Raw genomic sequence first — 22,969 nt, forward strand, 5'->3', positions numbered from 1 at the left:
TGTGATTTCAAGGCAAATGGCTGATTTGTTGGGCAGTGGAAGTGAAAATGTTGATCAAGCAGCCGGATCGTGCATCTTGGTTTGGGAATTTGGTCTGGAAGCCTGGAGTTGAGCTCCTAGAGAGCTGCGTTGAGACCAAGATGATCCTGGCACTGATGCCCGGGAGGGCACACCCAGGGCTCAGCCTCTTGTGGGGACAGCCTGGGCCATAGCCTTCCTCAGGACTGGAAGGGCCTCCTCTCTAGGGTTTGCCCCTTCCTGGGAAGAGAAGAAGGTGTGAGAGGCAGGAAGCTTGTGGAGCCACTGCTTTTTCATAGCTTGTCCTGCTTCAAAGTAAAACACCAGTGAAGCACATACATTTTCAGGAGTGAAGGGCCGGGGATAGTAAAGCGACTGTTGAGTCACCCCTTTTGCCTATTTTACCCACTAAGGTTTGGACATCAGTATTGTTCCCTCCCTCCCTCCATCCCTCCCTCCCTCCCTTCCTTCCTTCCTTCCTTCCTTTCTTCCTGACAGTCTCACTCCATCACCCAGGCTGGAGTGCAGTGGTGCAACCACAGTTCACTAGAACCTCCACTTCTCAGGCACAAACAATCTTTCCACCTCAGCCCCTCAAGTAGCTGAGACTACAGGTGTGCGCCACCACACCCAGCTAATTTTTGAATTTTTATAGAGGTGAAGTCTCCCTATAATCCCCAGGCTGCTCTCGAACTCCTGGGCTCAAGCTGTGCTCCTGCCTTGGCCTCCCAAAGTGCTGGAATTACAGGTGCGAGCTACTGCACCCAGACTGATTCTCTTTTGTTATTGTTGTTACTGGACAGCGTCTCCAGAATATTCTTTTGTTGTTGCTGAGACAGGGTCTCGCTCTGTTGCCAGGCTGGAGTGCAGTGGTGCGATCTCAGCTCATTGCAAACTCCACCTCCCAGGTTCAAATCATTCTCCTGCCTCAGCCTCCTGAGTAGCTGGGATTACAGGGGTGTGCCACCACGCCTGGCTGATTTTTGTATTTTTAGTAGAGATTGGGTTTCACCGTGTTGGCCAGGATGGTCTCAATCTCCTGACCTCGGGATCCGCCTGCCTCGGCCTCCTAGAGTGCTGGGATTACAGGCGTGAGCTACTGCGCCCGGCCTCCAGAGTATTCTTTTGTGAGGTAAAGTTGATCAAAATGAATAAATACAAGCTGGATGACAATGAGACTGCCTCATGACTTTCTGAGATATGTAATGATTAATTTGTAGAGTGCAGAGACAAATTATTTGGTAGGTTGCATGTCTAGGGCTGTGGATGATGTGAGCAGCTGAAGATATTCAGCCCTGCAATTTGGGAGCTACGGGTGTAAAATCTAAGTGAATTTACCTAAGTTTTGTGCCTTCCCCAGCTCTGGAATCTCAACCTCGTCTGAATTCCGAAGGCATTCTTTCTGGTCTGTGTGGGTCTGTGTGCAGGAGACTGGGGCATGGAAATGTGTGTTTGTGCATGCACTTACTGGAAATTCAAAACATTTTAGATTTAAGCCTCCTGTTTTAAAATATGCCTCTGTTATTTGGTTTCAGCCAGTCAAGGCCCCTTAAAATGGTGAGTGTTGGTAATTTGTTTTTAAGCCATTCGTAGAATTAGGGTTTACCAGTCGTCTGACAACCTGTGTCGCTTAGATGGGCTTTTATAACCATGCACGTTTAGTTCTAGACTGTTTTCTGATTGTGTAGACTGGGTACAGTGTGATTCTTAGTGAAAGACAGTGAGACAGGCACGGCTGTGTCTGTGCCACGCTGTGTCTGTGCCCCGCTGTGTCTGCATCGATCCTGAACAGGTGTACTTGGTGTTCACCGCAGTCTTCTGTGTTGTTGTCTTTGTGAACAAGACTGTGGTGATACCTTGTGGATAAAATACGAGTTGCTGTGGATTTGTTTCTGGGAAGACAATTGTGTTAACCCACCCTGTTATTCAACTTAAGTTCTTAACTAAGATAATGTTGTTCCATCCTTTTCTTTTATAGCTTTTTAGACATAGAGGCACGTAGACATATACGGGTAAGACAAACTAGCTTGAATTGAAGACAAACTGATATAGTTATGAGCTATTGGAGACATCAAAGCATATTTTTTGAGTTATTGGAAAGATCTAAACATTATTTTTTAAACATTCAAATCTGAAGACTGAGCTTTCAGTGCTGTAGGGTTTTTTGTTGCTGTTGTTGTTTGTTTATTTTGAAACAGGGTCTCACTGTGTTGCCCAGGCTGGAGTGCAGTGGTGCGATCAGAACTCACTGCAGCCTCAAGTTCCTGGGCTCAAGTGATCCTCCCTTCTTGGCCTCCCAAAGTGCATGGATTATAAGCATCAGCTACTGTGTCTGGCCAAAAAGCTTTGCTCTATTTTGAGAGTAAAAAGTACTTGGCATCTAAAAATACATTATTATTTGACCCGAAATGGAAAGACTTGACATTGTAATTGAAACTGGTTTAATGTATTAGGAAGGAGTTGTGCACATAATATGGTAGGACTGGTAGGAAGGAAAAACAGCCGTCCTGTCCTAGGTGCCCTCATGGTGCTGGGGTAGCTGAGACAGAGCTGCCGACATCAGGCCGCGACGGGCAGGATGCTTGTGCTTTCTGATGTTCTCAGTCTTTCTTGTTTGCCTAAAGTACTAGGTTTTGGGCAGCGTGAGTGGGGAAGGGAAGCTGGTGGAGTCTGTGAGTCCCCCCTGCTGATGAGCTCCCCCACTGCTGATGAGCTCCAAGGAAAGGCAAGTCCTGCTGGGCAGTGTTCATTTGCTGCCACCATCCACCCAGTTAACATCAGGTTGGCCTTGAGAATAGAGTCCACTGTTCACACTGGGGTCCTGAGAATAGGAGAGGCTGCGCCAGTACAGGATGGGGCCCCGGTGTGCCCGGGATCCGTCCGGCCGAGAAGCAGCAAGTCCCTGGAGGAAACTGCACCAGGGAAGATGGTCAGAAAGACCAGCCTGCATGGGGTGTGAGCTGCTGGGCCGTGCTCGCCACCACCCGCCTCTCTTTCCTCTGCAGGACACAGAAGGCTCTGCCATGTGGCTGTGCTCTCTGTGGTGTCTGGAATATTTTCTTCCATTTCCTCACTACTGAAATCTTTCCCTTTACTAAGAAATGCCTTTAAAATGGAAATGTCTTTGAAACCTGGGTAGCAGTTTTAATAACTCCCTTCCACCCCATGTCTATAACTAGCATTGGGGTCCCCAGGAGCACCCCCACTCAGCGATTCACTGGGAGGACTCCTGGAGCTCATGCCCAGCAGGATGGCCATGATTTGTTACAGAGAAAGCACGCGGAGCATGGTCAGCAGAGCGAGAAGGTGGAGGAGAGAGGTCCAGGGAAACCAGGTGGAAGCTTCCAGAGCTGCTCCCCACAGAGTCCCAGGAGGGGACACACATCAGGCTGTGACCACGCATGTCATCCAACAGGAAGCTTGTGAGAGACATGGTGCCCAGGGTCGTGCTGGGCTCTGCCCACAGAGGCACCCCTGCCTGGCACTTACCCAAATTCTGGGCTCCCAGCAGGACAGCAGGTGTGTGGTATAAACCATATGTTTGCACAGTTTAGGCACAGGAAGCCCCTGTTATCAGGGAATAGCCCCCAAATCCACATTCCCAGGTTCAAGGACTGTAGAAGCTTCCCTTTCTACGGAGCAGAGTTTCAGGCCTGCTTTGTGAATCCTGGGTGCATAATAACAATAAGCAAATCTAAAAACAATTCAGCAGGCACAGTGGCTGATGCCTGTAATCCCAGCACTTTGGCAGGCAGAGGTGAGTGGATTGCTTGAGCTCAGGAGTTTGAGACCAGCCTGGGCAACATGGTGAGACCCCATCTCTACTAAAAACAATTAGCCAGGTGTGGTGGTGCCCGCCTGTAGTCCTAGCTACTCAGGAGGCTGAGGTACAAGGAGTGCTTTAGCCCAGGAGGCAGAGGCTGCAGTGAACCATGATCGTGCTTGGGCAATCTGCCCAGCCTGGGCGACAGAGCGGGACTGCACACCAGCCTGGGTGACAGAGCGGAACCCTGTCTCAAAAGATATAAAAAAAAATAAATAAAAATAATTGCAAAAATGATTTTCAGATACACTTTGCCCGAAAAACTCTGTGAGGATGAGGGCCGGGTTTACTGTGTGCTTGCTTCATGCTGAGCACTTGGCAGGATGAGCTGAATCCTGGTCCTCACCCCACTTTCCCTCGTTTTTGTTACTGCCTATCATTCATTCCCCGGGTGCTCTTGGAAACCTTCCACCTGCAGCTCCATCTTCCACATCACAGGTTTACCTAAGTGTACATTTCACTCTTTGTAACTTCGCAACTTGATGCAGATTTAATCCTTGCCTTGTCTTCCTTCTTTAACTCACCATCTCCATCTCCTTCTGCGAGATTTCATCTCAGGCCCTTTTCTTCCTTTTTTGTTTATAGTCCTAGGAATCTTTTTTATAACTTTTTTTCCCAAGACTAGATGGCTCTTTAGACTTGTTTCCCCTGATTTCCGTGGCGCACACTTTCCTGGGCTCAGGGTTTAAATGTTGGTCAGACCCGTCCTCCCTGTTGCAGTGTTGAGTGTGGATGCGTGTCTATGGCCATTTCTGTGTCCACGTGTCCACAGACCCGACCTCCCTGTTGCAGTGTTGAGTGGGGATGTGCGTCTATGGCCATTTCTGTGTCCACGTGTCCACAGACCCGACCTCCCTATTGCAGTGTTGAGTGTGGATGCACGTCTATGAGCATTTCTGTGGCCACGTGGCCACGTGCTTTCACATGACCCATGCATCCCGGAACGGGAGGAGACCTCCCTTTCACTGGCATTTCCCATAGACAGTCTGTGGGATTGTCCTGGTCCCGTGTCCCTTCTGCCTGGAGGACCCTGGAAACTCCTCCGCTGGCAGCGCAGCTGTTACAGATGCTGTTCTGTACCTGTCACGGCTACTGCCACCCAGCCATCCTCCACCCAGGTGGCTGCGCTGCTCAGAGCAGGCTTCCCACTGCCAGTCCTGTCGGGCCGCCTCCCATTGAGCCACTGGCCACGTCCTGGCTCTTCTGCTCTTGGTCTTGGCCAGCCAAGGGAGCCGGGCCAGGGTCCTCACCCACCGCTGGTCTCTGCTCTCCTCTGAGAACGTGCATCTTCCAGTGGACGGCGAGACGTTCGGGCAGAAGAACTGGACAGCTGCTTCTGGGGTGATGTCAGCCTTATCCTATGGGTGGGAGCCGGCTGCAGGCTGCATTTCTGAAACGGCAAATATCTGGGTGGGACACAGGTGTGTGGCATGCTGGCCCGGGTGTGGCACAGCTGGGCAGGTGCCGTGTGCGCAGTTGGCGCCACTTTCCTGGGAGAAACGGCTCCTTGTTTCTTGCAGCAAATGACGATCTGTCCTTGTTTTCAGAGGCGCCGAGTTTTTGGTGTTTTCATGGAAGTTGGTGGAGGCTGTGTAAGGGTGTGAGCCAGATAATACTTTAAGCTGGAAGTGGAAGCCTTCTCTCTTCTCTAACCCATTAACCGTATCTCTATGGGATGAGTCCTGCTCACTTTATTCTGAGAGAGAGAGGTGCTAATTGCGGTAAAGGGACAGCGGACCCCTCCGGAGGGAAAATGAATCCCTGAGGTTATTCAAGTCATGCCGAATTTCTTATTTCGAGATGGAAGACAGTTTTAATATTTGCCCCCAAAATTTAAAAGTAATTCCAGGAAGGCATTTTATTGAAAAGAAGACTCTGCACTAAAGGGGAAAGGTTTTTAAAACTATGACTTACTTCATCTTTGATGAAAACTGTTGTTTGTTGGGTTTAAAATAAATTAAAATTATTTCTAAGCAGCACCTTATTCTGGGATGGTTTTGTGGGAGTGTGCATTGTGTTCTGAGAAGCTTTGATTATTTGCAACCATGAACCATATCTAATAGAAATAGTTTTACTATGTATTTTAATACCCTCCCTTTAAACAGAAGTGTCAGATAAAGACAGTGATTGATCTTTCCAGCAAAGCTTTGCTTATTTAGCAGTGGCAGTTTCATTGCTAAACAGGTATTCAGGTGGCACATAAATCAAATTGGAGAGACTTGATTTATGGCCACTGTTCTCTCAGGTGTGAGTTGGGGTTAATGTGCAGGCATCTTAAGCACTGATGCACAAATAATGAAAGAAAATAAAATGTTTCTTGAGGGGAAATGAGACCAGGAGTTTTGGAATATAGAGGGAGGTGCCCAGGGCTGGGAATTGCAAGCCCTGGGCTCTGATGGATGCTTGTTACCATGGAGTGCATTACTCTGTATCACACTCGGGTGTGTGTTGATTTTGCTACCATGTTAAAAGCTATGTCAAACCCCGGGTGGGTGTTCCCTGACTGCAGCAAGTTACTACGGAACAAGTTACTAGGTAGCAAACCACAGGTTATCCGGGCTGTGTCATAATGTCTGTGAATGAGACGGGTGGTCTGTGTCAGTCTTGGCGGACAGGCTTTCTCTCCTGTGTTAGGTAGCAAACCACAGGTTATCTGGGCTGTGTCATAATGTCTGTAAATGAGACGGCTGGTCTGTGTCAGTCTTGGCAGATAAGCTTTCTCTCCTGTGTCACGTCCCATGACAGTGTCTTTCCCTAGGAATGCGTGGAGGAAGACTCTGAGGGGCCACTGCCTTGATGGATTGTGATGCCCACGAGGGCATGGGTGTGAGTGCTGATGCCGCTCTGACCCTCCATTTTAATTACCTTCCGCCCAGGAGCTGGAGATGCCAATATGCTTAACCCTGCATTCAGAATGAAAAAGCTACAGTTCCTGAAGTTGACATAACTAGTTAGGATATTCGCTAAGAAGGAAACAGGGGGTGACGTTTAAGTGTATCTTTTTAAGGGTATGGCGTAGAATTCCTTGGGAATCAGGATTGCATTTTACCAGTTTAGAGACCCCTCTGAGCTTGGTGCATAGGGGACAGTCAGTGGAAGCGTTTAATTTGAACTGAATTGAACCTGTGCTTGTATCAGATGTCAGGGGTCTGTTCCTGGAGAAATAATGTAGGAGGAAAGCGTAACTAATTAAGGGAAAATGTCTCAGACGCTGGCTTTTAAAATAATTAAACAATCAAAGACTGCCAAAGGTCTAAAGTTTATGAGATGCACACTCAAGTAATTTAGCTGCTGTGTGGCAGGCAGAAATGGCCTGTGAGTGATTTCAGGGTCAGCTCAAACAGAAATTATCTTCTGAAGAGAGGGATCCAGCTTAATGTTCTTAAGTTAAATCAATGATGCTGTTAACATTGCTTTGAATTCCGTAGTTACTGATGAATGTCACATGACAGCATCCATTGCGTATTGATGGCTGTAGATAGGAGCCTATAAACATGAGAAGTGCACGTTTGGAGGGAGCTTCATGGAAAGATGTCTCTGGTTTTCAGTTTCTAGTCCATTTTAGGGTCTCCACTTGGGAGCAACACCAGCTACGTCCCTCACAGCCACTGCTGATTATGTCTTGAAGGAGGTGACGTTAATTCAGTCAATCCCAGAGATACTGGCCCTTCCTAGGTGATGTGGGTAGAAGACAGTGAGGCCATCTCTGTCCTCCGGCTCACGTTTTTGGAGGCGAGAGGGCAGTACCGACAGCAGGTTAGCAGATGTTGGGGCCAGATCCTCTCGGAGCCCTGGGCTTGGACGTTGGGTGGGGTGGATGGGGAGGGACAATGTTGTGGGGTCCTGTTGTGTGGTGACTGTTAGGGCAGGACTGTAAGCCCGGTGAAGTTTAGTGCTGGCCTTGCCGAGGTGCAGGACGTGAATTTACAGAGGCACATTTCAGAAACTTCGGGAAGCTGGCACTGCATGCTTATCCCGGTTATTCTTTTTTTTTTTTCTTTCTTTCTTTTTGAGACGGAGTTTTGCTCGTTGCCCAGGCTGGAGTGCAATGGCGCGATCTCTGGTCACTGCAACCTCCACCTCCTGGATTCAAGGGATTTTCCTGCCTCAGCCTCCTGAGTAGCTGGGATTACAGGCATGCACCACCATGCCTGGCTATTTTTTTGTATTTTTAGTAGATACATGGGGTTTCTCTGTGTTGGTTAGGCTGTTCTTAAACTCCCGATCTCAGGTGATCCACCTGCCTTGGCCTCCCAAAGTGCTGGGATTGCCAGCATGAGCCACCGCGCCTGGCCAATCCAGGTTATTCTTACTAAATCCAGACGTTGTGAAGGCCTGCTTGCTATTAATATATTGATAATTATGTTGATAATGGTGAAAGTGTAGGCACGTGTGGGTGATTGCTTGCTATTGGTGTATTGATAGTTGATAATGGTGAAGATGTATTGATAATTATGTTGATAATGGTTAAAGTGTATTGATAATTATGTTGATAATGGTGAAAGTGTAGGTGCGCGTGGGTGATGGCCACTTGGAGTGTTTTGGGTATGATTGCTTTTAGAGAAGAAATCTTATTTTGTCACTCAAGCTGGTGTGCAGTGGCCTTCTGGGCTCAAGCTATCCTCCCATCTCAATCTCCAAAGTAGCTGGGACGACAGGTGCACACCACCTTGCTCAGCTAATTTTTATTTTTTAATTATAATGTTTTTTTTGTAGAGGGGGTGTCTCCTTATGTTGCCGAGGCTGGTCTTGAATTCTAGGGCTTAAGCGATCCTCCCAGCTCAGCTTGTTTCATATACATATATGAAATGTGAATGGTTGTCTCTGGGCTGAAGTTACCTCACGGAAGGATGGTGTTCTGTGTGGAGGCTGGACAGGGCTGGATTTGTGGTGGTCCAGGAATCCATGACTTGGGGGGCAGCCTTGTGGATGGGTGCGGAGAGAGTGTATTAGCACAGCTTGGATGTCCACATTGTGGACGGAGTAACCCTGTGGGCTTTGCAGGTGTATTAGGGCCCTCCAGAGAAGTGGAAGTCGTTGGATATATGTGGGTGTATTTGTTTACACATATGTAGACCCCATGCTTATATATATAAATCTCATCATGTATATCTGTGTGAATAGAAGGAGATTTGTTAAAAGGAATTGGCTCATGTGGTTATGAGGCTGACGAGTCTGAGATCTGCTCAGCCAGCTGAAGGCCCAGGAAGAGCCCATGTGTCCATTCTAGCATGAAGGCAGGAAAAAATGTGGTGTTCCAGTTCAAAGGCAGGCAGGGGCGTTGCATAATAAAATGTATTTTAATTAATTAATTCAGGGTTTTCCCGCCCTACTGAATGGGGTTGCGCTCACAGGAGGAGCGGATATGTCATGGAGAATGAACACATCACACTGCCATTACTCAGTGAGTAACTCACTTGGGCTCCGGGCCGCTCGGGGGCACAGAGCAGGTCTTAGCCATGCTGTCAATTTTCCGTGTTCTGACGCTTTCATGTCTGGGCCTCGCTGACTTGGGAGGGATGGCTTTTCCTGGGCTGGCCGGTTCCTGGGGACAGTGAGCGGCTCGCCTGTGGTCGTGCCTGTACATGAAGCCGACTTCCAGAGCCCACGCCCACCACTCCCTCCGTGGGCTCTCATGCTCCTGACTGCTGACAGCCCAGAGCCCTGGGACCATTCAGCCTGGCCAGGCCTAAGCCTGCTGGCCCTGCTTTCCCGTTCTTCCTTCCCAGATCCCAGTGAGGGCTCCCCGTGTTGGCCACCCCCCTCACACCTCCTGGCCTTCCCAGTGCACCTGTGTGGCCCTGGCCCTGTGGCAGGCCCTGCCTCCAGGTCGGGGGTCTGTGTGTTTCCACTGCTCCATCCACGATGGTAATTTCTGTCTCTGTGTCTCACCGCACCTGAGTAAACAGATCCCAGGAACCCTGAAAACAAGCAGAATCTGTGCCCATTGCTCTCCTGGCTCCTGGAGGGCACAGTGGGCTCTGCTCCTGCTGGGAGGAGAGCGGCAGGTTTCACCGGGTGGCACAGGGAGCTGCTCTCTGGAACCGCCTGGGCGGCCGTGGCCAGGGCATGAGCTGAAGGGGGTGTGCGGCAGCCGTGGGTGGCCGCCGAGGGGCTGGCAGCAGCTGAGCCATGTGGAGCTAAACTGAGTGAGCCAGGAGGAAGGATGAGGGTGCTGGCACACAGAGCTGGCCGCACCCACAGGAGCCGTCACACAGCGGAGCTGCCCTCCTCCGGCAAGGACGGCTGCAGTTGTGTAATAATCCTGGTGGGGCTCACAGCACTGCGTGGCAGGAGCGGAGCGAGCCTCGTAGGCGTTCCAGGTGTTCCCTGAGCCGGATTAAATGCCTCTGCGCTGTGGGGGTGGGGACAGCGTGGGGGGAAGCCAGGAAAAGCCGGGGCCAGAGGACCCCCCGCCGAGAAAGAGAAAGAGCTCAGAGCCGGGGACTGGAGGCCTGGAGGAGCCGATGTGGGAGAGATCCTCGTGGGAGGGCCCCAGTGGCCGGGATGGTAAAAGACTTCGGAGCAAACTAATCGATTGTAATTACATGAAGGTGAAGCTGGTGATGATGTGTCAGATGGGGAGTGTTCAGGAAAACTCCTACAAAGGTAAGAACGCTGTTTATAGAACATGATCCATTATGGGGGATTCATGTTGATGGAGGACAGTGATGAGCCTATGGGGATTTTCTTGAAGCTTCTGTGGCGACTGTTTTCTTACTTGAACATGTTGATTCAATGACTAAAAATGACCGTGACTGTAGCACTTTGTGGGGGTGTGTTTAAAACGTTCTGGTCCCCAAGGCTCTTGGGTCTACCTGAGCATACGCGGCACACACCAAAGGTCTCAGGGTGGAATTGTTCACGTCAGGAATGTGCTTTGAGCAGGTGGCTGATTTTGAGGTCCTTAAAGTTCAAAGTCCTCCGCGTGTGTCCCTCACCCAGAGAGGGCACTTAACGCCTCCGAGCCTCAGTGTCCTCATAGATCAGACATAATCGTAACAATTCTGTTCTTAACAGGAGAATCGTGGGGCCCAGCACCGTGGGGTAGGGTATGGGGTTGTTGTCGGCTGTCATACAAACGTGTCAAGCCAGACACACCAGGGAGGGACAGAGGTCTTGGGATGTATGGAGCAGGAAGGAGATTTGGAGTATGGGGTTAGAGTTGGGAATTACTGTTCTTGGTCGTTCCTGGAGATTATAGTTAGAAATTTCTCAAGAAGTATATAATGAGAAAAAAAGGGCAGAGTTCAGAGAGCTAAATTGCAAAAAACAAACAAAAAAACCCCACAAAGGACCAGCACACAGATGCACAAGTTCCCCTGAAGGGGCAGAGCAGTGCCAGGCCCATCAGATGCCATGGGACACACTTGAATTCCATAGCAGAGCAGAGGGAAGCACGTGTGTGCAGTAGAAGGGATGCCGGCCAGCCATGGGGTCCCGGGAGAACGGGACCAGAGTTCCCTGCCCAGGGCTGAGGGTCTCATGGTCTTTGTGGCAGGTCCTGTGACTGGGGAGGGCGCCAGCCTGAAGCCACCTCCTAGGAGAATTTCTGGTCATGTCATAGACACGGATGTACTGAGGCTGAGTTCATATTCAGTAGGCCTCATGGACGCAGATTTACGAGATTTTCCTGGACATGATTCCCTGAGGTCGAGTTTGCGTTCACTAGGTGTCCTGGACACGGTTTACCGAGGTTGAGTGTGTGTTCACTAGGCATCCTGGACAGGGATTACGGAGGTCGAGTTTGCGTTCACTAGGTGTCCTGGTCGGGGATTTACGGAGGTCGAGAATGTGTTCAGTAGGTGTCCTGGACGTGGATTTACTGTGCCCTTAGTGTATCCCAGGCTTCATGGAAGAGGAATGAGGAACAGGTCCCCAGCTTGGTGCTCAGGTGCCTGTTTGATTCTTGTGGTGACAACACGGGTGATGCTGGCGGGGACTGGGTACTTGACACCTTGCAAAGGCATCTGTGAAGGGTGGGATGCACTCAGAAGACAGCATAAGGTTTTTGATTTAGAGGAATAAAAAAAAATAAAGCACAGGGGAAGAACTTGGTGATACTGGACAGGTCCTCCTCTGCCCTTTGCCTTGCACCCCGGGTCAGGCGCAAGGTGTCCACATGTGGAGGAAATAGGTGGGAATCGCTGCCCTCGATGCAGGAAGAACCAGAAGATTCACAGAGCCTTCGAGTTAGAAGGGACTCGAGGATTTTCTGTTGCGAAGCCTGATTTCACAGAGGAGGAAACAGGAGCACTGAGGCCGTAAGTGGGTGGTCTGGGCTTACACCAGGGTAGGGGCAGGGTGGGCCGGACGGCTTTTCAGGCAGTTTTGGCTGCAACACACTGCTCAAGGTTTCTCTGGAAAGATGAAGACCCCCCCCGCCATTCCCACTCTAAACATCCCAGACCCCCCACCATTCCCCCTCTAAACATCCCAGACCCCCTGCCATTCCCCCTGTAAACATCCCAGAACCCCCGGCCATTCCCCCTCTAAACATCCCAGACCCCCCGCCATTCCCCCTCTAAACATCCCACACCCCGCTGCCATTCCCCCTCTAAACATCCCAGACCCCCCGCCATTCCCCCTCTAAACATCCCACACCCCCCTGCCATTCCCCCTCTAAATATCCCGATTCCCCGCCATTCCCACTCTAAACATCCCACACACCCCTGCCATTCCCCCTCTAAACATCCCACACCCCGCTGCCATTCCCCCTCTAAACATCCCAGAACCCCCGCCATTCCCCCTCTAAACATCCCACACCCCCCTGCCATTCCCCCTCTAAATATCCCGATTCCCCGCCATTCCCACTCTAAACATCCCACACACCCCTGCCATTCCCCCTCTAAACATCCCAGACCCCCCCGCCATTCCCCCTCTAAACATCCCAGAACCCCGCCATTCCCCCTCTAAACATCCCAGACCCCCCCATTCCCCCTCTAAACATCCCACACACCCCGCCATTCCCCCTCTAAACATCCCACACCCCCCGCCATTCCCCCTCTAAACATCCCACACCCCCCGCCATTCCCCCTGTAAACATCCCACACCCCCCACCATTCCCCCTCTAAACATCCCACACACACCCCATTCCCCCTCTAAACATCCCACACCGCGGTACTCAAGCAGTGTTTGCCTGGCTTTGGTTGAGAGTTCCCGGCAACAATGAGGGCTGCAGTCTAATTATACTTAGAAGGAAATATTGATCTTGGTTTCCATGATTTATAGTACAAGTCATTTCCACTTTAATTTGAGTTACCAAGAATGGACACATTAGTGCAGGATGGAATTGAAATGTATTGGGCACTATAGAAATTACTTTGGTCTCTGGCTTTGTTTTTTCACCTCAGAAATGTGTATTTTTTTCTTCCTGCCATTGCAGTTCTAATTTTCTGTGTTGTGTCTCTGGGAGGAGTGAGTTGGTGCACCTGCTCATCCTGATTCATGATTTTCTTGTGCCTGTCAGTCTGAGACAGGCCACACTGATGTGTTTGCATCGGGTTGAAGGCTGAGAATTCTGACTCAGACCTGGCGACCCTGGCCTCTCCTTTTTGCAGACCTTAGAAAAGTGAGTGACTCACTGTAGAACCCAGGGCTACGCAGCCCCTTGCCTTCCTGGAGGAAGCAAAGGCAAGACGTGGAATCCAGTTTGTTCTCCTCTTGGTTGATCATGTGGTCATGGAATCAGTGCACGATCCACCTGCTCTGCCGGCCACCAGCGTTTAAAGACAAATGCAATGTTGTCTCTGCTTTAGGGGAAATTATTGTGTCCTACAGAGAGACAGTAACATGAACGAAGAGTTCCTGTGCTGGGGTGCACACCAGGGACTCCAGGCACACACAGCATGATGTAACAACACTGCATCAGAAGCCAGGGGGTGAGAGGGTTCTCTGCAGAAAAGGTCCGAGGAGGGGACTTCAATGCTGAGTCTTTTACAATAGATTGCCAGGCAGACAGAGATATTCTAGTTAGTGGAGGAAACCTGCAAAGACTACCTGGAGATGCAGAGAGGGCAGGTGCGTCCTGGGCTTGCCGCCACGTTGGGTGTGGGACACAGGCTGTGGGCCAGACACCAAGAGCAGGTGCAGGTGTGCGGGGATTGGGAGCCTCATGGAGACCCCACACTGCAGAGACTTCCTCCCGCTGTCTTCCAGAGCTGTGGGAGCCACACCAGTGTGCCAGGCCGTGGTGCAGAGGCTGTCCTGTGAACAGTGAAAACCAGGGAACTCAGATTTACATCCCGTTTATTATGTAATGGGAGGGAGGCGCCTTGCTCATGGAAATCCCTCTGGAACTGCATGAATTGGGAGGACTCTGTGGGTTGTTCTGGAGATGAGTGGGGAGGGAGGCAGGGGAAGGGCAGAGGTTTGGGGGCTCAGATCCATTCTTCTGGGTTTCCTTAAATCCCCAGTGAAGATGACATAATCACAGAATTGTCTTCGTCAAATGATTTCCCGAGGTGGGGGCAGTAAAAGGGAGGATTTTTTTTTTTGCAGCTGAATAGAAACGCATGTGTAGGTAGGAGGTATGTGTGAGAAAGCCGTCAGCTGAAGTCCAGGCACTGAGGCCACTGCCCTACTGAATCTTGCTCCTGGATCTTGGTCCTGGGACAGGCGGGTGTCTGAGGGCTGAGGAGCAGCGTGTGCAGCTGACACGGGCCAGTTGTGTTTCTGAAGAAGTGGTTTCCAGTTATGTCCACACCCTGGTGTCTGGGGTCTCCCACGCTGAGGGAGCAGGCAATGGCAGGGGCGTTTCACGCGAGGGTGAGAACAAGAGCGCTCTGCCTCTCCCGCCTCCTGGCTCTGGAAAAAGCATCAGGAACATGTTCTAGAAAAAGCCGCCTGTGATTCCTTCTTAAATTCCCTGGCTACCCTGGGATCTGGGATTCCTGGCCCTTCTGTTAAGAATCCCAGGTATCTCGGCCGTTATTTTTAGGCACTGCCACTTGTCATGATGTTCTTCCTGCAGTGAGAGCTGGGACATTTGGCTCCCGGGAAGCTTGGTTCCTTACTTCCATTTGAATTTCATTTGTTCTCTGGAACCCTTGCCAGCCCATTCTGAGTTTCTGATTAAAGCCCTTCCCGTCGTCCTGGTGGCCACGCCCTGGCTCCCAGCCCTTCTTACTGGGCTGCTGAAACACAGTGGTGGGCGTTGGCACAGGAAAAAGGGCCCCACTTGGTTTTTCTTTAAAAATCTTTGGAGTCTTATGACATCCTTGATCTTCATTTTTTGGACTCTCAATGAAACAACATAATGTATGTAAAACCCGCAATTTTGAGTCCTTTTGCTGGAATTCATTTGGCCTCTGTCTTGTCAAGAGGAGTAACCGAGGGGATGTTTGGTCCCCATGGCTGGAAGGAAACGGAGGAATGTTTGCCTCATGTACGTTTTATTTGTTAATCTTTCTTTTATTTGAGGAATGTTCTGTTATCAGTGGAAATATTCCCTTCTAGGAAATATTGCAGCACAAACATGTACTGTAAGACCTCGTGGCATTCCTGTGAGTTGGCTAGGATCTTGGAGGAAGAGCAAGTGTCTGATGTTTTTGTCGACAAACCTTTTCCTTTTCACCTTTTCCCTCTCACCTTTGGCCTCTAGACACTTTCCTGACCAAAGTCCATAAACACACATGCAGTCCAGCAGCCACGTGTGTTCTGAAATAGAAAAGGGTGACAAATGTTCTCTGAAGTTCATAACCTTTGGATTTTCACACACTGTGAATAATTCATAGGAGGGACTCTCATGATCCGGTTCTTTTCTTCTTATGATTTGTAAAGGGAAAAATTCTCACTAGAGATGAGAAAGACTGATAAATGGTTCCAGGTTAAATAAAACTAGAGATGTCACAAGTGCAACGTGTGGTTTTGTGCTGAGTTTTGTTTTTTCATTTCCTATAAAACACAAGAGTGGAACAATTGGCAAAATGTGAATAAGGTTTGTCAGTGAAGTACTAGTATTTCAAGATTTTGATCATCATATTGTGATTATTATGAAAATGCCATTGGTTTTAGTAAGCACATAATGAATCATTTATTATGTGAAGGGCTATTATGCCTGCAATGTAGTCTCATGTGGCTCTGAAAAAAATTACATGAAAGACAGAGAAAGAATCGTGAACATAAAATGTCAGGGTTTGGGAAATCAGGGTAAAGAGTATGTAGGAATTCCCTGTACTGCTTTTGTAACTTTTCTATATGTCTGAAATTATTTCAAAATGAAAAATTAAAAAAAAAATTTCTTAAGATGAAGAAATGTTGATAACCAACAGTTTGAAAAAGATCAGTCAGCATTTCACATTCCTGATTGAAAACATAACTTCCCCCTTTCCCCTCGATCTTTCTGTAGCTTCTTAGACTGTTTTGGGCAAAGATAAACAATATTGGAAATATATGGTTAGGGTTTTTTCTTCTTTCCTGCAAGAATATGTGGGAAGGAAGTGATATTTTCTGGAGTTCCTATGGACTCGTCTATAAGCATACCTTCCGATCCTGTCCCCGTCCGTTCCTGCAGAACCCTGCACAGTGGCAGCTGCTGTCTGTTCCCTTCAGAGAAGGAAGCTTTGGCTTATGGGTGGTCGGGTTGTGACGGGAATTCAGGCCTCTCTAGGGTCAGACCCTCTTTGCCACATCTGCTGCTTCCTTGACCCCTGATCATTCTGTGGGTTAGGGAGCCCTCTGTCCTGGAACAAATGACGGCCCTGGCCATGGTCCCGGGGGTGAGGGCAGAGTCTGCTGTGGACACCTGGCTGTGGGCATGAGGGGAGGGTGAGGGCAGAGCCTGCTGTGCAGATACCTGGCTGTGGGCACGAGGGTGAGGGCAGAGCCTGCAGTGGACATCTGGCTGTGGGCACGAGGGGAGGGTGAGGGCAGAGCCTGCTGTGGAGACACCTGGCTGTGGGCACAAGGGTGAGGGCAGAGCCTGCTGTGGAGACACCTGGCCGTGGGCATGAGGGGAGGGTGAGGGCAGAGCCTGCTGTGGAGACATCTGGCCGTGGGCACGAGGGGAGGGTGAGGGCAGAGCCTGCTGTGGAGACACCTGGCTGTGGGCACGAGGGGAGGGTGAGGGCAGAGCCTGCTGTGGACACCTGGCCGTGGGCACAAGGGGAGGGTGAGGGCAGAGCCTGCTGTGGAGACACCTGGCCGTGGGCACGAGGGGAGGGTGAGGGCAGAGCCTGCTGTGGAGACACCTGGCCGTGGGCACGAGGGGAGGGTGAGGGCAGAGCCTGCTGTGGACACCTGGCCGTGGGCACGAGGGGAGGGTGAGGGCAGAGCCTGCTATGGAGACACCTGGCCGTGGGCACGAGGGGAGGGTGAGGGCAGAGCCTGCTGTGGAGACACCTGGCCGTGGGCACGAGGGGAGGGTGAGGGCAGAGCCTGCTGTGGAGACACCTGGCCGTGGGCACGAGGGGAGGGTGAGGGCAGAGCCTGCTGTGGAGACACCTGGCCGTGGGCACGAGGGGAGGGTGAGGGCAGAGCCTGCTGTGGAGACACCTGGCCGTGGGCACGAGGGGAGGGTGAGGGCAGAGCCTGCTGTGGAGACACCTGGCCGTGGGCACGAGGGGAGGGTGAGGGCAGAGCCTGCTGTGGAGACACCTGGCCGTGGGCACGAGGGGAGGGTGAGGGCAGAGCCTGCTGTGGAGACACCTGGCCGTGGGCACGAGGGGAGGGTGAGGGCAGAGCCTGCTGTGGAGACACCTGGCCGTGGGCACGAGGGGAGGGTGAGGGCAGAGCCTGCTGTGGAGACACCTGGCCGTGGGCACGAGGGGAGGGTGAGGGCAGAGACTGCTGTGGAGACACCTGGCTCTTTGTTTTCATCCCACTTAGTGGGAACGGCAGCCTGTCGGAGTCGATCTATTTCCAGCTCCATTGAGTGGGACCTGCTTGAAACAGGCCACCTCTTCGATTCTTGCCTTGGTTTCTGCCCATCCCTACTTGGGGTGGCTCTGAGTCAGCTGCGCCTCCCAGGGGGTGGAGAGGAAGCGAGTGCTCACTTCTGCGAGGAGGCGTGTGACGTGGCTATTCCCGGCTTGTGGTGGGGACGGTGGAGGCAGAGCGGGCACTGGGTGCAGATGCGGAAACTCATCCTGCTTCATGCTCGCTCATGCTCATGAGCTCAGGGAGGCGGTGGACCCCAGCCCTGTGCCGGCTCTCGGGGAGATGGAACATTTGGGGAACCAGAGTACCCACCTTTTCTTCAGTTCAAGGCTATTCTGTCTGAAGAAGAACAGATCAGACGCACAGGTGTTCTCGGCTATAAGAGCAACAGAAGGAAAGAGTGATTTGCTGTCCAAAGATAGAGCTTTCCCTCAGCTCTGCCTCTTTAAAGTCTAAAGAGCATTCAGCATTCCCATAGTCTCCTTTCTGTCTCTTCAGCGTTTCCAAACCCTCTGAGTGTGATTTGTAGGAACGTGTATTACTCGGCTTCCGTTGGCACTGGGAAGGGCACAATACCTCAGCCCAGCAGAACCGTGTACCGCGAGCTGTGTAAGTGGCCATTAAACCCCACACACTTGAAGAGAGCCTGCTGCCATTCCCGCAGGGGACGCTGAGGCGGCTGCCCCTCGGGAGTGTTGGAAACAGCTTCTCTGAGCGACTCCACCATGGGGGCGTCTCTCTTCCTTCCCGGTGTGGGTCAAGGGCTCAGAGATGTGCTCTTTGCCTTGGACCCAAAGCTGTGTGTGGGAGTCCTCGCTGTACAAACCTTGTGTCAGCTGCCAACCACATGCGGTCGTGAGCCCAGGATGCCCGGCTCCTCAGTCCAGAGGGTCTGTCCATGTAAAGCATTTTACATGCTGGATTTTGAAGACTTGGTATGAAAACACATGTGAAGTAGCTTATTAATTTTTTTATGTGGATTGCATGTGGAAGTGATATTTTGCATATGTTGGATTAAATAAACTATATTAAAATTAATCTCACCTGTTTCTTATGGTTTTAATGTAGTTAATAAAGCCATAAATGGCACATGTGCTCACACTGTATTTCTCTTGGACGGTGTGGCTCTGTCGCATTTGCATACTCCTGCACCGAGTTCCATGTTTCAGGGCCGGGTGTGCCTCAGTCGTGTTCTGTCATCCGTCGTGTCTAAGTGTGTTTCCTTCACAAGATCTCTACACCCCAGCAGCCCAGGAGCCGTGCGTCCTGCTCTAGTTTCAGAGCTTCCCTCAAAGCATAGTGGTTCCTGTTTGTTGGATACTCGGTGGAATTCCACATAAACCTCTGGGTTGGCTTTTTGTTTTTCAGGGAGTATGAGTGTTTATGTGCTTTTTATGTGGTTATTATTAAAATGTCTATCAATTATTGTTCATATTTGCTTAATGAAATTTGGAGAGCTGCATAAGAGTGGGGACATTTAACAATGATTGTTTCTAGGAAACTGGGAACAGTCTAAGAGTCAGAGTAGGAAGTTCATTAAAATGACCGAGGACCCTGCCCAGTGGGACCCGTCTCCAACCTGCTGGAAATTAGCTCGCGGAGCACGTTGTGGGTTGAGCTGCCGGTGTGTTCTGACTGAGTGGAACAGAACACTGTGTACCGTGTGTCGCTGAGTCACAGTCGGTTTATGAAGAGGGTCTCTGAAGAGAGTGAGCCTCTGTAGGAGTCTGTGTGGCCCGGTCAGCAGAGCCTAGAGGGCCAGAGCAAGCAGCCTTGACTGCTCCCATCAAGAAAGAGAAGGGGACCCAAGGGGGCTCTATTTGAAGGTGGCCACACATGCTTCTACATTGGAAAAAGCAAAGTGCAGGAACCGACCAATGTGTAAAACTCGGGAAGGATGTTTGCTGTTGAGTAGGACCTCTGATTGCATTGCCTCCCCTGGGAGATGGCGGCCTTTCTTTTAAGAACTTAATGCCTAGGGAGGAAGGGAAGCCCAGCCGCCTCTCCCTCTCAGAGGGAAGCTCTGAAACTAGAGCAGGACGCATGGCTCCTGGGCTGCTGGGGTGTAGAGATCTTGTGAAGGAAACACACTTAGACATGACGGATGACAGAACACGACTGAGGCACACCAGGCCCTGAAACATGGAACTCGGTGCAGGAGTCTGAGCTGGAGCCTAGTTGGAAGCTGGAGCCTGGTTGCAAGCTGAGTGCAAGGTCCTCTCTTTTTGTTTTGGTTTTTTAGTTGCTGTTGGGCACTTAGGGTACAGCATGGAGGTGGCAGGGAGCTGCTGTTTAAGGGAATGCTCTGCAGATGCCCGGGAAGTTGGATGAGAGCATTTAGTCAACTTTTTCATGACTTTTGAATAAAAGTGCTGACCAGGAGAATGTTTCCAGCAGTGTAGGAGAAGATTCTGGTCCATCGTTTCACCACCGTGGACCATTTTCACAAAGCGCACTGCGTGACGTCAATGGGTAATCAATACTGCCCTTTCTAAAGGCCTAGGCTTATGTGTGAACTTTCCTCAGGCCTCAGAGCTGGTGGCGGGACCTGTTTCTGTGTACAGAGGTCTTGCCATGATGGCCTCCTGTGTGAAGGCCCCGCACATCTACAGACATGTGGTGCCCTTCAGCCATGGCACTCTTCTTAAGACTTTCTCCTGAGGACGCTCCTCAAGTCTCCCTCGCTCGCCTGACGAGGTGCTGCCTGTCTTGCTGTTGTACTGGGAAAATGCTATCATTTAGAAAGGATCTCTCAGCTGTGAGTCCTCTCTAGTCATTATCACCATGATGGGCATGCTGTTTCTTATGGATTCAAAAACATGCCCATATTTCACCATATTAAGATCAAAACAAGAGTGATGTTTTAAGTTTTTCATCATCTCTATTGTTTTAAAATCGGATCTAATTGTCACTGGCTTTCTCCAAAAAAATTTTTTTAAGAAGCCTATTTTTCCCCATGACTATGAGAGAGACTTCTTTAAAGAGATGCCAGTTAATGGAATTTTTTAGAATGTCGCATGATTTTCAAAGCCAAAAACAACACAGTGGAAAGACCCTCAGCTCTGTGGATGGTGGGGTGCATTTATCAGAGAGAGAGCAATCTTTCTCCACACAGGTCCCTGGAGTTGCTTGGGGCTGGAGGAGCTGGAGGAAATGCTGGAGAGAATACCCTTGGAAGGCAGGGGCCTTATCTTGCCCAACTGCCTCGCTGGGTGCCAGGTGGAGCTTGGATGGGACAGGGTCTTCTCCTCCATCTCCTACAATCAAGGGAATCTGGTGTTGTCTGCGTCTGTGCCCTGTGTCCTAAGGTGTATGTTCCCTGTCTAGGCCTCATTTTTCTCTTACCGAAAGTGAAGGAGTGGGATCGACTCTACGGACGCCTCCAAGTTCAGTGTCCTGCCTTTTTGTGACTCTGTGAGGAGGTGACAGGTGCCTGGGGTAGGGGGACAGGAGGTGTCCATCCCGGCCTTTCTGCAGTGCTGATCCAAGGTGGAGCTGAGGGTAGTTCAGCAGTTCTTACTCTCATATCAGGACCCTCTGGCCTTGTGTCTCAGACAACTATTCCTTCCACACATATCTGCTGAGGCCCTGCCGTGCACTGTGAAAGAGGAGGGGTGCTGCGCTTCCTGACTTAGGACATCAAACGTGCAGTGTGAGCTGCGGATCTCACACGAGCCTGGGAAGGCCACAAAGCTCAATGACAAGTTAGACTCAGCATGTTTTCCCTTTAAATTGAGACAGGGTCTCTCTCTGTTGCCCAGGCTGGAGTATAATGGTGACAGAGAGAGACCCTTTGAAGGCTCACTACAGCCCAGAACTCCCAGGCTTAAGCGATCCTCCTTCCTCCGTCTCTGGGTAGCTAGGACTACAGGTATGCGCCACCATGCCTGGCTGATTTTTAAATTTTTTTGTAGAGACAAGGTCTCACTATGTTGCCCATAGAGAGCTTGAGGTTGGATCCAAGTTCTCAAGGGGACGGAGGTGAAGAAGAAAGACCAGGCCTGGACCCTGAGCAGGCTGTAGTGGATGCATGGTTTGTGTGGAGCACACGGTGGGGGTAGGGAAGGGATCTGGGCCAGACCCAGCCTACAAGGGCCTCCCCTGCTCCCTGCAGAAGCAGTTCCTTATTCCTGACTGCAAGAAAGAGGCTTGGATGGCCACACTGGCCTCCTGCTCAGAAGCCAGAGTGTGACCTGGGGGTGACCAGCCGGCATGGCAGCCCTGTGTAGCTCAGCTTGTGGGGGGCTGTGGCCTGGCTGTGAGGTGGTGTGGGCACGGCCAGCCAATGTTTCAGCCCTGTGTGTCTCAGCACAGGGGCCACGGGAGCCAGAGGGAACCCAGGTCTCGGCTCTCATTGCCTCAGAGGCCAAGGAGAGGGCAGAGGATGGGAGAGAAAATGGCAGAAACTCCCAGGCCTCTGCCTTAAGCCCCGAGGAAGAGTGTGAGGATGAGACCAAGGTATGAGGTGAAGGGCATCTGTGCTAAGGAGGCTGAGCCTTTCTGTTCAGAAACCTCTGCAGGCAACCTCCAGAGACGCAGCAGAGCAGCCACCGGCAGGGCTGCAGAAAGCGGGATCACGGCCCCTGCCTGGGAGTGGGAGGTGCAGACACAGGGGCTGGGGTGCCTGGGAGTGGGAGGTGCAGACACAGGGGCTGGGGTGCCTGGGAGTGGGAGGTGCAGACACAGGGGCTGGGGTGCCTGGGAGTGGGAGGTGCAGACACAGAGGGGCTGGGGTGCCTGGGAGTGGGAGGTGCAGACACAGGGGCTGGGGTGCCTGGGAGTGGGAGGTGCAGACACAGAGGGGCTGGGGTGCCTGGGAGTTGGAGGTGCAGACACAGGGGCTGGGGTGCCTGGGAGTGGGAGGTGCAGACACAGGGGGGCTGGGGTGCCTGGGAGTGGGAGGTGCAGACACAGAGGGGCTGGGGTGCCTGGGAGTGGGAGGTGCACACACAGGGGCTGGGGTGCCTGGGAGTGGGAGGTGCACACACAGGGGCTGGGGTGCCTGGGAGTGGGAGGTGCAGACACAGAGGGGCTGGGGTGCCTGGGAGTGGGAGGTGCACACACAGGGGCTGGGGTGCCTGGGAGTGGGAGGTGCACACACAGAGGGGCTGGGGTGCCTGGGAGTGGGAGGTGCACACACAGGGGCTGGGGTGCCTGGGAGTGGGAGGTGCACACACAGGGGCTGGGGTGCCTGGGAGTGGGAGGTGCAGACACAGGGGCTGGGGTGCCTGGGAGTGGGAGGTGCAGACA

General features: G+C 51.4%; 1 protein-coding gene across 2 annotated transcripts in view, besides 3 other annotated features; it reads left to right on the top strand.

The window, feature by feature from the left end:
* Positions 1 to 22,969, top strand: part of DLGAP2 (DLG associated protein 2) — a 970,849-nt gene that overhangs the window by 179,122 nt on the left and 768,758 nt on the right. The window lies entirely within an intron of this gene.
* Positions 16,347 to 16,917: an enhancer, noted in NCBI's record as "H3K27ac-H3K4me1 hESC enhancer chr8:883096-883666 (GRCh37/hg19 assembly coordinates)". NCBI's record gives its function as "activates a minimal SCP1, AML or CMV promoter by ChIP-STARR-seq in primed H9 embryonic stem cells {active_cell/tissue: H9 hESC(primed)}" and the evidence as "EXISTENCE:reporter gene assay evidence [ECO:0000049][PMID:30033119]".
* Positions 21,409 to 21,962: an enhancer, noted in NCBI's record as "H3K4me1 hESC enhancer chr8:888158-888711 (GRCh37/hg19 assembly coordinates)". NCBI's record gives its function as "activates a minimal SCP1, AML or CMV promoter by ChIP-STARR-seq in naive H9 embryonic stem cells {active_cell/tissue: H9 hESC(naive)}" and the evidence as "EXISTENCE:reporter gene assay evidence [ECO:0000049][PMID:30033119]".
* Positions 21,963 to 22,515: an enhancer, noted in NCBI's record as "H3K27ac-H3K4me1 hESC enhancer chr8:888712-889264 (GRCh37/hg19 assembly coordinates)". NCBI's record gives its function as "activates a minimal SCP1, AML or CMV promoter by ChIP-STARR-seq in naive H9 embryonic stem cells {active_cell/tissue: H9 hESC(naive)}" and the evidence as "EXISTENCE:reporter gene assay evidence [ECO:0000049][PMID:30033119]".

The sequence above is a fragment of the Homo sapiens genome, chromosome 8, assembly GCF_000001405.40.
Source record: "Homo sapiens chromosome 8, GRCh38.p14 Primary Assembly".
Lineage (NCBI taxonomy): Eukaryota > Metazoa > Chordata > Mammalia > Primates > Hominidae > Homo > Homo sapiens.